Consider the following 13442-nt stretch of genomic DNA (forward strand, 5'->3'; position numbering starts at 1 on the left):
TGTAGAGCAGCAAGTTGTGTTTATTTTCAACAGCACATTTGATTATAGAAAAAACACATTTAGATGCCTTAGATGAGACCTGCTTGTGGTATGCTTGCTGTATAACATGACTACACACACTGTTAGGACAGCAAAAGCACAGTGAAGTTTTGCCTGCCTTTGAGAGAAGCTACAGAGGAGGCTTCCCCAAACAGGATTATCATGGCACAAAGAGAGTTCCTTTGCTGGCCTGTGTGAGTGATTTTTCCATGTCATCTCCAAATGTGCCATGTAGAAGAAGCTGCCATTTATAATGAGAACTGATAAACAGAGAGAAAAGCACCTAAGAAATTCATTGGACCTGAAGGGGATTAAAAGACTTCATGATTAAATGAGCTAGTGGATGAGCTAATGAGCTGTCTGTATGGTGAGCATGTGGTAGCTGGCAATGCAGAGGCCTCTCTTTGGTCCTCTCCTTGGTCCTTTCCATCCCAACACCCTTTGTGCATGGCCCAGAAACCTACTCAACAGGAGATGAGAGGCCGTTAAAAGAGGAATAGTGGACCAGGGATTCATCCATCAGTATTTCCTCCACATAAAGCACAGGGCACAGTGCCATCTTAGAATTTCTCTAGTCAAGCATAAAGAAGATATTTGAAGGCAAGCCATGTGAAGAGTAATTATGAGAAGATGGATGTTCATTCTTTTCTGAGATTTGCTGTTTTTCTCTTGCATTTAGTGAAATTATTTCTTCACTTCTCTGCATTTGATAGAGTGCAGAAGGGCCCCATGCCTCTACTTTGTGTTTTCCCAGAGACCATGGTGCCCCAAGAATGGCTCAGCTCTGGCTTAATTCTGCAAAACAGTATAGGGACTCATATGCATGCAATCTGTGTCTAGGTCTCTGTGAGTCAGTGAACTTGAGATCAACACAGCAATGCCTCAAGTTCCCCAAGAATAACAAGCTGCTCTCCATCAGAGGCAGAGAGACTCTGCCGCCAACTGTAATCCCTGGAAACTAGTCTGGAGGAACACAGGCAGCTATGGGTCTGTGAAGAAGACAGAACACTTACTGTGCTGTGACCTGGCCAAAGCACAGCTCCACCTCCTATCAAAGCTGATGATGCACCCAAGGGAAGGGAAGAGCTTGAAAGTGGAAAAGACAGCCTCTCTATCAGCATCTCTGCAGCTGTAGTGGCAGGAGACAGAGACAGGGATCATGAGAATAGGGGTCAGATTTGGTTTTGTGCAATAACACAGAAGGGGAGTGCCTTCTGCATTTGCAGGGAAGTTACAGGAAAAGAAAAATAAGGTGATATGGTTCAGCTGTGTCCCTACCCAAATCTTATCTTGAATTGTAGCTCCCACAATTCCCACATGTTGTGGAAAGGAGCTGGTGGGAGGTAACCGATTCATAGGGGTGGGTCTGTCCCATGCTGTTCTCATGATAGTGAATAAGTCTCATGAGATGTGATGGTTTAATAAGGGAGAGATTCCCTGCATAAGCCCTCTTTTTGCCTGCTGCTATCCATGTAACACGTGACTTGTTCCTCCTTGCCTTCCACCATAATGGGAGGCCTCCCCAGTCATGTGGAAGTTTTGAGTCCATTACACCTCACTGTGAGTCCATTAAACCTCTTTCCTGTATACATTACCCAGTCTCAGGTAAGTCTTTATTAGAAGCATGAAAACAGACTAATGTAGAAGGCCATGCTATACCTGGGAATATAGGTTTTCTTTGCCAATAGTTTTTAGGAACTGAAAATAAAGAGCAAGAAATAACTATTAAATTCAAGTTAAATAAGAAATGACATCGGTTATTATTAAAACTAAATGCCAGTGTGTGCTCCTAAATCACTTGGTATTCTGATATTTTTCAGTGATAAAATGGCACATACATGAAAGGTTCAATAAAAGTTTATGGAGGGGAATTGAGTCTCTTGGTATGAATCTATTTCTTTACCTACAGAATCAGTGACTGGATTCTGTGTCTGTTGGCTTCTGCTTCTGTATATCATGCATTGATAGCCTCTGATTTGGGTGTGGGGACAGGGGAGGAGTCTATGTTTTCAGGCTGGAAATGAAACTTTGAAATCCACACAGAAGCTACTACCTACAGCCTCAATTCAGGAAGGGAAGAAATGTACAAATGAGGACAAGGGAGGTTTTCAGAAGAGAGGACCTAAGAAGTGGATGGATAAATGAGGTTGCTGGCTGCAGATGGCATGTGAGGAGAGAGAATCCTCGTGCAATGAGAAGCTTCAAGATTGGCTGAGGTTCTCCAGGGTGCCTTGAGTGACAGGAGCAGGCTGAAGGAGAATGTGGGAAAATGGTGAGTGTTCGCTGTGTTTTCAGAGGTGCTCATGACTTCCACATAGTGCCGATTCATGAGCCTGGGGCTCAGACAAGCAGCAGGGTCCCCAAGAGTAGATTTAAGATGGGAGAACCTCTACTGAGACTCCTAGTAAGTGTGACCTGGCAGAACTTTTACATAAGATTTTCCCAAGGCTCCTTTCCAGACCACTGGGCCCAGGACTCTACAGGTGTCCAGAAACCAAGATTTGAGTCAGGCATAGTGATTAGAAGTAGCAGATAAGATCACCAAGGAGGATGGGAAAGAGTGAGATGAACATCAAGAACAACACCTGCACACACACAGATGCTGACATTTGGGGACTGATGAACCAAGTTCCTGGGTGAAAGGAAGTGCAGAGAGAAACAATGGGAGCAGTGGATGAGGGCGGATGGGCATGGTGCAGCCAGCACAGGGAGACATTGCAGAGAAGCATGAGAAATGGATGTCTGTGGTCTCAGCAGTCAGGAGTGGCAGATGCCAGGAGGAAATGCCCCCCAAGGTGAGGTGACAAGGTGAAGATACAGTCAGAAACAGGGATTGTGGCATCTGGCAGCTAATGTGGGAACAAGACTGAGGGAGGCCAAGGTTGTCTGGGAGAGCAAGATGCCCCAAGGCTAGTGTTCTGGACATGGACATAAGGCAGAACCTGAGTACCAGGGGCTGGGCACCTCAGGGTCATTTAGAAATAAGGATGTCATGTGTGCTCAGCAGGCAGAGAGCCTCTCATTGGTGCTGGGTGCTGGGCATTCAGAGGAAGGGCAGGGGAGCGACAGTGGGGAGTTGGGAAGAGGCAGATGGGGCCCCCATGGACTGCAGAACATATCACAGTGGCATGAGGGTTATTAGAGCTGGCACAAAGGTTATTAGCGCTGAAGAGAGTGAGCATCAAGTACAGGAAGAGGAGGCTTCTGCACTTCCTTCTTTTCCTAAGGAAAGCCTTCCAGAAGAATTCAGCCCTCCACCCTCATACATTCAATGTTCAGGAGTTTCACAACCAGGAAAGCATGAGTCTTATCACCAAAGATAAGAAGTCAGCACCTGTGGCACCTGGCTGAGAAATTTTCCCAAAACATGTTGTCATAAAATTATCTTATCCTTCGTCTCCTAAGGGCCCACTTGTTTTTCCTAAAAGTCATTTATTCTTCTACTCATCCTTCTGCTCCTTTCCCATCCATGTTAAGATAACATACAATTCCCAAATTCTAATTGACTCCTTGAGTCACAATTTTCTCTGAACTCCTTGGATGTATGTAAATATAAATCTACCTTTACTCTTGATAGTGTGTCTTTTGTTAGTTTGATTTACAAGACCCCAATCACTGCACTTAAGAGGGTAGAGGAAATACTATTCCTCTGATAGTGGAATTTGATTAAAGCAATCAACCTCATGCCAGGAAACTCAGTAGGGACACCAAGCCCAAAGGCAAGTTCAATGAGAGAAAAGAAGTGTAAGGGGAGTATCTGTGAAGGCCATTATTATCATTATGGTTTTTCAAGTAATAAAATAAGGGAGAAAGGGCAATAAAATAATACCAAGGACAAGTGTCCAGAAGCAAGTGTATTTTGCTCAGTGATTGTGGGCGACAGGAGGAAGTGGCCTAGAGGCTGGAGCAATGATGCCCACAGAGGATGGTAAACAATGAAACAATGACAGGTGACTGTCCTCATCCCCTATAGCAGCTCCAGTGGGGCTGCGCCCTTAACTCAGTGTTTCAGGGTAAGAGGCTGATTCAAGGAACAGTTAGTTGATCTCCCAAAAACCAGAGGCATAGGCAGGCTCAGCTGGTTACAAAATATTAACCTTTTTTTTTTTTTTTTTTTTTTTTTTTTTTTTTCTTGAGAAGGAGTCTTGTTCTGTTGCCCAGGCTGGAGTGTAGTTGTGCCATCTGGGCTCACTGAAAACTCTGTCTCTCGGGTTCAAGCGATTCTCTTGCCTCAACCTCCTGAGTAGGTGGAATTACAGGTGTGCACAACCAGGCCCGGATAATTTTTTTATTTTTAGTAGAGATGAGGTTTCACGAGGTTGGCCAAGCTGGTTTCAAACTCCTGACATCAAGTGATCCACTGTAATCCCAAAGTTTGGGATTACAGGCATGAGCCACCTTGCCCAGCCTAAATATTAACTTTAAAATGGACATAAGTAATATACAGCTATTTGTTCTCCATTATCGTTGGAGGAAAAGAAGTTCCAGTTACGAAGGTCAACTCAAACTGATAGGCTGCCTGCTCCTGTATGCCTTCATTTGGGACATATGAAATGTATGATAAGGATAAGTCAAGATTAAACTTTGGGTGAGTTTCACATGAAGTTACAGGTATTAGATATATATATCTACACACATGCATATATATATTTTAACTAGCTACATCTTTTTTTTCACTTTTTTTTAATCTAGGAAAGAGTCATAGAGATGCAAAATGTTCTTCACATTTGGTACAAGTTTATATGAAAATATGCCCAGTGACCATTTTCTTATATTAATTTCACTTTCTCCTAAGCCTCCTCTAAATTTTTTCATTACTCATGTTTTCTAATTGAACTATAAGTTCCTTGAAGGAAATCACATTGGAATCATGCCTGACACTTCCTTCTCCCTTACCACCTATTTCTAACCTGCCACACAATACTCCACTGAGTTATAAAACAAACATGGCCAATATGTCCTTCTGAGAACTTCCAGTGAGCTCAAATGCCTACTGCACCATGTGTAAACTTTTCTAATTTGTTTCCAAAGTCCTCAGGATTGATTCTGTGTTGGCTGCTCCCCTGTTGGCTAATCCCGCTCTCTGTTCCTTCTCTGTAAAAACCTTGAGCATTTATCTCAGGGCCTGTGCCATCCCCAGATCCCCTATGATGTTCTAATTTGTGTCTGAGTGAACTTTCGTTCTTTCTCTCTCACACTGTGTAGAGCTGCCTCCCCCAACATCGCAATGTAAAGATGGTTCAGCTTACATCAGAGTTGAAAGAATTTCACAGAATACTCATATCCCCACACAACCACCCAGACTACTCCCTTTTATTTTTCTTTTGAGACAGTGTCTCGCTCTGTCACTCATGCTGGAGAGCAGCGACATGATCTCGGCTCACTGCAACTTCTGCCTCCCAGACTGGTGATTCTCCCACCTTAAGGTGCATGTCTCCCACCTTCTGAGTAGCTGAGACTACAGGCATGCACCATGATGCCTGCAATATTTGTTATTATTGTAGAGACATGGTTTTGCTGTGTTGCCCAAGCTGGTCTTAACTCCTGAACTCAAGTGATCCTCCCACCCTGGCCTCTCAAAATGTTGAGATTACAGGCATGAACCACCACCTGTAAGACTGTACTCTTAACAAGGTGATAGCATAATAGTTTGGGGTGTGAGTCAAAATGTCTAAAGGTTCATGAAATGAGTCCAGTCTACCTATTTATGTGGACTTAGACCTCCTTTATTAAGAAATATGCAGGTTTTCAGGGAAAAAATATAATCTACCACATCCCTTATTTATGAATGGTGAATATTACCTCACAACTTCAATCCTGGTATTCCAAAAAAAAAGAAAAAAGAAAAAAGATACCAAATATACACAAAACTTAAGCTGGTGAAATTAGTCTACTCTACCTATTTGTGAACTTTAACATAACTCGCTTGAAAGCTGAACAGAAAAACAAAAAAAAATAATAATTTTTTAAAACCCTGAAATTCAGCTCCTAAAACAAGATTAACATAACAGAAAAATGAAAACACGCAAAGTAGTGATGGCTAGGCTTTAAAAAATTTATTTCTGATTTATGGTTTTACTTGTAATAAATATCAACCATACAAGTGATACATAAGCAATGCCATAATTTTTGTTTTGCAACAAAGATGGCATTTTTATGCCTTGGAACAGAGAACCCTAGGGTGCCTTCCAGCTTGGTCTCTCAAGTCCCCACCAGCCAAGGAGTGGCTCACACTCACAAGTCTCAGGGCCTGGCATTAGGCCCAAGGAGGCTCTCTACCCACAGGTCTCTGGGCTTCAGAGGATGTGCTGGCAGAGGCAGCACCCTCAGGCAGGTGCTTTCACTCAGTGAGTGCTCGTTAGATTGAAGGTGGATCCTGGGGGACTTCTGACAATGGTCTTATAATTGCTTTAATTAATTTATTTATTTTTAATTTATTGTACGTTGCATTCTCAGATGCATGTGCAGAACGTACAGGTTTGTTATATAAGTATACATGTGCCACGGTGGTTTGCTGCACCCATCAACCATGATCTACATTAAGTATTTCTCCTAATGCTATCCTTCCCCTAGCCCCCAACCCTTGACAGAACCCAGTGTGTGATGTTCCCCTCCCTGTGCCCAGGTGTTCTCATTGTTCAGCTCCCACTTATGAGTGAGAACATACAGTGTTTGGTCTTCTGCTCTCGTATTAGTTTGCTGAGAATGATGGTTTCCAGCTTCATGATGTCCCTGCAAGGGACATGAAGGACATGAACTCATTCTTTTTTCATGGCTGTATAGTATTCCATGGTATATATGTTCCACATTTTCTTAATCCAGTCTATCATTGATGGACATTTGGGTTGGTTCAAGTCTTTGCTATTGTGAACAGTGCCACAATAAACATATGTGTGCATGTCTGTTTATAGTAGAATGATTTATAATCCTTTGGGTATGTACCCAGTAATGGGATTGCTGGGTGAAATGGTATTTCCAGTTCTAGATCCTTAAGGAATTGCCACACTGTCTTCCACAATAGTTGAACTAATTTACACTCCCACCAGCAGTGTAAAAGTATTCCTGTTTCTTCACATTCTCTACAGCATCTGTTGTTTCCTTGCTTTTTAATGATCACCATTCTAACTGGCATGAGATGGTATCTTATTGTGGTTTTGATTTGCATTTCTATAATGACCAGTAATGATGAGCTTTTTTTTCAATGTTTGTTGGCCACATAAATGTCTTCTTTGAGAAGTGTCTGTTCATATCCTTTGCCCACTTTTTGATGCGGTTGTTTGATTTTAATCCTGTAAACTTGTTTAAATTATCTGTAGATTCTGAATATTAGAACTTTGTCAGATGGATAGATTGCAAAAATTATTTCCCATTTTGTAGGTTGCCTTACAACTCTGATGGGAGTTTCTTTTGCTGTGCAGAAGCCTTTTAGTTTAATTACATCCCAACTGTCAATTTTGCATTTTCGTGCCAGTGCTTTTGGTGTTTTAGTCATGAGGTCTTTGCCCATGCCTATGTCCTGAATGGTACTGCCTAGGTTTTTTTCTAAAGTTTCATGGGTTAAGGTCTTACATTTAAGTCTTTAATCCATCTTGAGTTAATTTTTGTATAAGGTGTAAGAAAGGGGTGCAGTTTCGGTTTTCTGCATAGAGCTAGCCGATTTTCCTAACACCATTTATTAAATAGGGAATCCTTTCCCCATTGTTGTTTTCATCAGGTTTGTCAAAGATCAGATGATTGTAGATGTGTGGTGTTATTTCTGAGGCATCTGTTCTGTTCCATTGGCCTATATATCTATTTTGGTACCAGTACCATGCTGTTTTGGTTAATGTAGACTAGTATTGTGATTTAAAGTCAGGTAGCATGATCCCCGCAGCTTTGTTCTTTTTGCTTAGGATTGCCTTGTCTATACCAGCTCTTTTTTGGTTCCCTGTGAAATTTAAAGTAGTTTTCTTTCTAAATCTGTGAAGAAAGTCAACAGTAGCCTGATGGGTATAGCATTGAATCCACAAATTACTTTGGGCAGCATGGCCATTTTCATGACATTGATACTTCCTATCCATGAGCATGGAATGTTTTTCCATTATGTGGTCTTCTTTTATTTCATTGAGCAGTGGTTTGTAGTTCTCCTTGAAGAGGTCCTTCACATCTCTTGCAGGTTGTTCTCCTAGGTATTTTATTCTCTTTGTTGCAACTGTGAATAGGCATTCACTCATGATTTGGCTCTCTCTTTGTCTATTACTGGTGTATAGGAATGATTGTGATTTTTGCACATTGATTTTGTATCCTGAGGCTTGGCTGAAGTTGCTTATCAGCTTAAGATTTGTTGGTGAGACAATGGGGTTTTCTAAATATACAATCATGTCATTGGCAAACAAAGACAATTTGACTTTCTCTGTCTGTATTTGACTACATTTCATTTCTTTCTCTTGCCTGATTGCCCTGGCCAGAACTTCCAATACTGTGTGGAATAGGAGTGGTGAGAGTGGGCATCCTTATCTTGTGCTAGTTTTCAAAGGGAATGCTTCCAGTTTTTGCCCATTCAGTATTGCATTGGCTGTGGGTTTGTTATAAATAGCGCTTATTATTTTGAGATGTATTCCATCAATGCCTAGTTTATTGAGATGTTTTAGCATGCATAGGTGTTGAATTTTATCGAAGGCCTTTTCTACATCTATTGAGATAATCATGTGGTTTTTGTCATTTATTCTGTTTATGTGATGGATTATGTTTATTGATTTGCATAGGTTGAACCAGCCTTGCATCTCAGGGATGAAGCCAACTTGATCCTGGTGGATAAGCTTTTTAACATGCTTCTGGATTTGGTTTGCCAGGATTTTATTGAGGATTTTCCCATCGGTGTTCATCAGGCAAATCGGGCTGAAATTTTATTTTTTTGTTGTGTCTCTGCCAGGTTTTCATATCAGGATAATGTTGGACTTATAAAATGAGTTAGGGAGGAGTCCCTCTTTTTCTATTCCTTGGAGTAGTTTCAGAAGAAATGGTACCAACTCTTCTTTGTAACTCTGGTAGGACTTGGCTTTGAATTTGTCCAGTCCTGGACTTTTTTGGTTGGTAGTGTATTAGTTACTGCCTCAATTTTAGAACTTGTTACTGGTATATTCAGGCATTCAACTTCTTCCTGGTTTAGTCTTCAGAGGGTGTATGTGTCCAGGAATTTATCCGTTTCTTCTAGATTTTGAAGTTTATTTGCATAGAAGTGTTTGTAGTATTCTCTGCTGGTAGTTTTTATTTCTGTGGTAATATTGGTGATATCCCCTTTATCATTTTTATTGCATTTATTTGATTCTTCTCTCTTTTCTTCTTTATTAGTCTGGCTAGTGATATATCTATTTTGTTGACCTTTTCAAAAATCTAGCTCCTGGATTCACTGATTTTCTTGAAAGGTTTTTCATTTCTCTGTCTCCTTCAGTTCTGCTCTGATCTTAGTTATTTCTTATCTTCTGCTAGCTTTTGGGTTTGTTTGCTGTTGCTTCTGTAGTTCTTTTAATTATGATGCTAGTGTGTCGATTTTGGATCATTCTTGCTTTCTCTTGCAGGCACCTAGTGCTATAAATTACCCCCTACACACTGCTTTCAATGTGTCCCAGAGATTCTGGTTAGGTTGTGTCTTTGTTCTCATTCGTTTCAAATAACTTCTTTATTTCTGCCTTAATGTCATTATTTACTCAGTAGTCACACAGTAGCAGGCTGTTCAGTTTCCTGTAGTTGTGCAGTTTTGAGTGAGTTTCTTCATCCTCGGTTCTAATTTGATTGCTCTGTGGTCTGATAGACTGTTGGTTATGATTTCCGATCTTTTGCATTTGCTGAAGAGTGTTTTACTTCCAGTTATGTGTTGAATTTTAGAATCAGTTTGATGTGGTGCTGAGAATAATGTATATTCTGTTGATTTGGTGTGGGGAGTTCTGTAGATATCTATTAGGTCCACTTGGTCCAGAGCTCAAGTCGTGGATATCTTTGTTAACTTTCTGTCTCGTTGATCTAATATTGACAGTGGGGTGTAAAAGTCTCCCACCATTAGTGCGTGGAGTCTAAATGTCTTTGTAGGTCTCTAAGAACTTGCTTTATGAGTCTGGGTGCTCCTGTATTTAGTGTTTATATATTTAGGATAGTTAGCTCTTCTTGTTGCATTGATCCCTTTACAATTAAGTAATGACCTTCTTTGTCTCTTGCTCTTTGTTGGTTTAAAGTCTGTTTTATCAGAGACTAAAATTGCACCCCCTGCTTTTTTTCTGCTTTCCACTTCCTTGGTAAATCTTCCTCCATCCCTTTATTTTGAGCCTGTGTGTGTCTTTGTACGTGAGATGTGTCTCCTGAATACAGCCCACCAATGGGTCTTGAATCTTTATCTATTTACCAGTCTGTGTCTTTTAATTAGGGCATTTAGCCCATTTACATTTAAGGTTAATATTGTTATATGTGAATTTGATCCTGTCATTATGATGCTAGCTTGTTGTTTTGCCCATTAGTTGATGCAGTTTCTTCACAGTGTTGACAGACTCTACAATGTGGTATGCTTTTGTAGTGGCTGATACTGGTTTGTCTTTTACATGTTTAGTGCTTCATTCAGGAGATCTTATAAGGCAGGCCTGGGGGTGACAAAAATCTCTCAGCATTTGCTTGTCTGTAAAGAATTTCATTTCTCCTTCACTTATGAAGCGTAGTTTGGCTGGGTATGAAATTCTGGGTTGAAAATTCTTTTCTTTAAATGTTGAATATTGGCCCCTACTCTCTTCTGGCTTGTAAGGTTTCTGCAGAGAGAACCACTGTTAGTCTGATGGACTCTTTTTTGTGGGTAACCTGACCTTTCTCTCTGGCTGCACTTAAATTTTTTTCCTTCATTTCAAACTTGGTCAATCTGATGATTATATGTTTTGGGATTGCTCTTCTTAAGGAGTATCTCTGTGGTGTTCTCTGTATTTCCTGAATTTGAATGTTGGCCTGACTTGCTAGGTTGGGGAATTTCTCCCAAATAAAATCCTGAAATGTGTTTTCTAAGTTGGTTCCATTCCCCCCTCACTTTCAGGTACCCCAATCAAATGTAGGTTTTGTCTTCTCACATAGTCCCATAGTTCTTGGAGGCTTTATTCATTTCTTTTTACTCTTTTTTTTTCTCTATTGTTGTCTTTACACTTTATTTTTTGTTTTGTTTTGTTTTTATTATATTATTGTTATACTTTAAGTTTTAGGGTACATGTGCACAATGTGCAGGTTAGTTACATATGTATACATGTGCCATGCTGGTGTGCTGCACCCATTAACTCCTCATTTAGCATTAGGTATATCTTCTAATGCTATCCCTTCCCCCTCCCCCACCCCACAACAGTCCCCAGAATGTGATATTCCCCTTCCTGTGTCCATGTGTTCTCATTGTTCAATTCCCACCTATGAGTGAGAATATGCGGTGTTTGGTTTTTTGTCCTTGTGATAGTTTACTGAGAATGATGATTTCCAATTTCATCCATGTCCCTGCAAAGGACATGAACTCATCATTTTTTATGGCTGCATAGTATTCCATGGTGTATATGTGCCACATTTTCTTAATCCAGTCTATCATTGTTGGACATTTGGGTTGGTTCTAAGTCTTTGCTATTGTGAATAGTGCCGCAATAAACATACGTGTGCATGTGTCTTTATAGCAGCATGATTTATAATCCTTTGGGTATATACCCAGTAATGGGATGGCTGGGTCAAATGGTATTTCTAGTTCTAGATCCCTGAGGAATTGCCACATGGACTCCCACTGTGGTTGACCTAGTTTACAGTCCCACCAACAGTGTAAAAGGTCTTTATACTTTATTTCATTAAGTTGATCTTCAATCTCTGATATCCTTTCTTCTGCTTGATCAATTCAGCTGTTTTTTGTGTATGCTTCACGAACTTCTCCACTATGTTTTTGGCTCCATCAGATCATTTATGTTCTTCTCTAAACTGGGTATTCTAGTTAGCAATTTCTATAACCTTTTTTTCTAGGTTCTTAGCTTCCTCACATTGGGTTAGAACATGTTCCTTAGCACAGAGGAATTTATTACCCACTTTCTGAAGCCTACTTCTGTCAGTTCATCAAACTCATTCTCTGTCCAGTTTTGTTCCCTCGCTGGTGAGGAGTTGTGATCCTTTGGAGAAGAAGTGGTGCTCTGGTTTTTGGAATTTTCATCCTTTTTGTGCTGGCTTTTCTCATCTTCCTGGATTTATCTACCTTTGGTCTTTGATTTTGGTGGCTCCTTTGGATTGGGTTTTTGAGTGGATGTCCTTTTTGTTGATGTTGATGCTATTGTTGTCTGTTTGTTAGTTTTCCTTCTAACAGACAGTCCCCACTGCTGCAGGTCTGCTGGAGTTTGCTGGAGGTCCATTCCAGACCATGTTTGCCTGGGTATCACCAGCGGAGGCTGCAGAACAGCAAAAATCGCTGCCTGCTCCTTCCTCTGAATGCTTCATCTCAGAGGGGCACCTGCCAATGCCAGCTGGAGATCTTCTGTATGAGGTGTCTGTTGACCCTTGCTGGGAGGTGTGTCCCCATCAGGAGGCACTGGGGTGAGGCACCCACTTGAGGAGGCAGTCTGTCCCCTAGTAGAGCTCAAACACTGCTGGGACATCTGCTGCTCTCTTCAGAGCTGGCAGGCAGGGACATTTAAGTTGGCTGAAGGTGCATCCACAGCCATCCCTTCTCCCAGGTGCTCAGTCCCAGCGAGTTGGGGGTTTTATCTATAAGCCCCTGCCTGGGGCTGCTGCCTTTCTTTCAGAAATGCCCTGCTCAGAGAGGAGGAATCTAGAGAGGCAGTCTGACTGCCGTGGCTTTGCTGAGCTGCGGTGGGTTCCACCCAGTTTGAACTTCCCAGTGGCTTTGTTTACATTGTGAGGGTAAAACTGCCTACTCAAGCCTCACAGATGGCCAACGCCCCTCCCCCCACCAAGCGCAAGTGTTCAAGGTCAACTTGAGACTGCTGTGTTAGTAATGAGAATTTTAAGCCAGTGGATCTTAGTTTGCTGGGCTCCATGGGGATGGGATCTACTGAGCTAGAGCACTTGGCTCCCTGATTTCAGCCCCTTTTCCAGGGGAGTGAGTGGTTCTGTCTTGCTGGCATTTCAAGTGCCACTGAGGTTATGAAAAATAACTCCTGCTGCTAGCACAGTGTCTGCCCAAATGGATGCCCAATTTTGTGCTTTAAATCAAGGGCCCCAGTGGCATAGGCACTCAAGGGAATCTTCTGGTCTGTGGGTTACTAAGACTGTGGGAAAAGCATAGCATCTCAGCTGGAGTGCACTATTCCTCACAGCACAGTCTCTCACAGCTTCCCTTGACTAGGGTAGGGAGTTCCTCAACCCCTTGCATTTCCTGGGTGACGCGATGCCCCACCCTGCTTCTGCTCACCCTTTGTGGGCTG

General features: G+C 41.6%; 1 long non-coding RNA gene across 1 annotated transcript in view; it reads right to left on the reverse strand.

Annotated features, from left to right (window-relative positions):
- LOC107987355 (uncharacterized) overlaps window positions 1-13442 on the reverse strand; it is a 118030-nt gene that overhangs the window by 83645 nt on the left and 20943 nt on the right. The window lies entirely within an intron of this gene.

This window comes from Homo sapiens, chromosome Y (genome assembly GCF_000001405.40).
Source record: "Homo sapiens chromosome Y, GRCh38.p14 Primary Assembly".
Taxonomy (NCBI): Eukaryota; Metazoa; Chordata; class Mammalia; order Primates; family Hominidae; genus Homo; species Homo sapiens.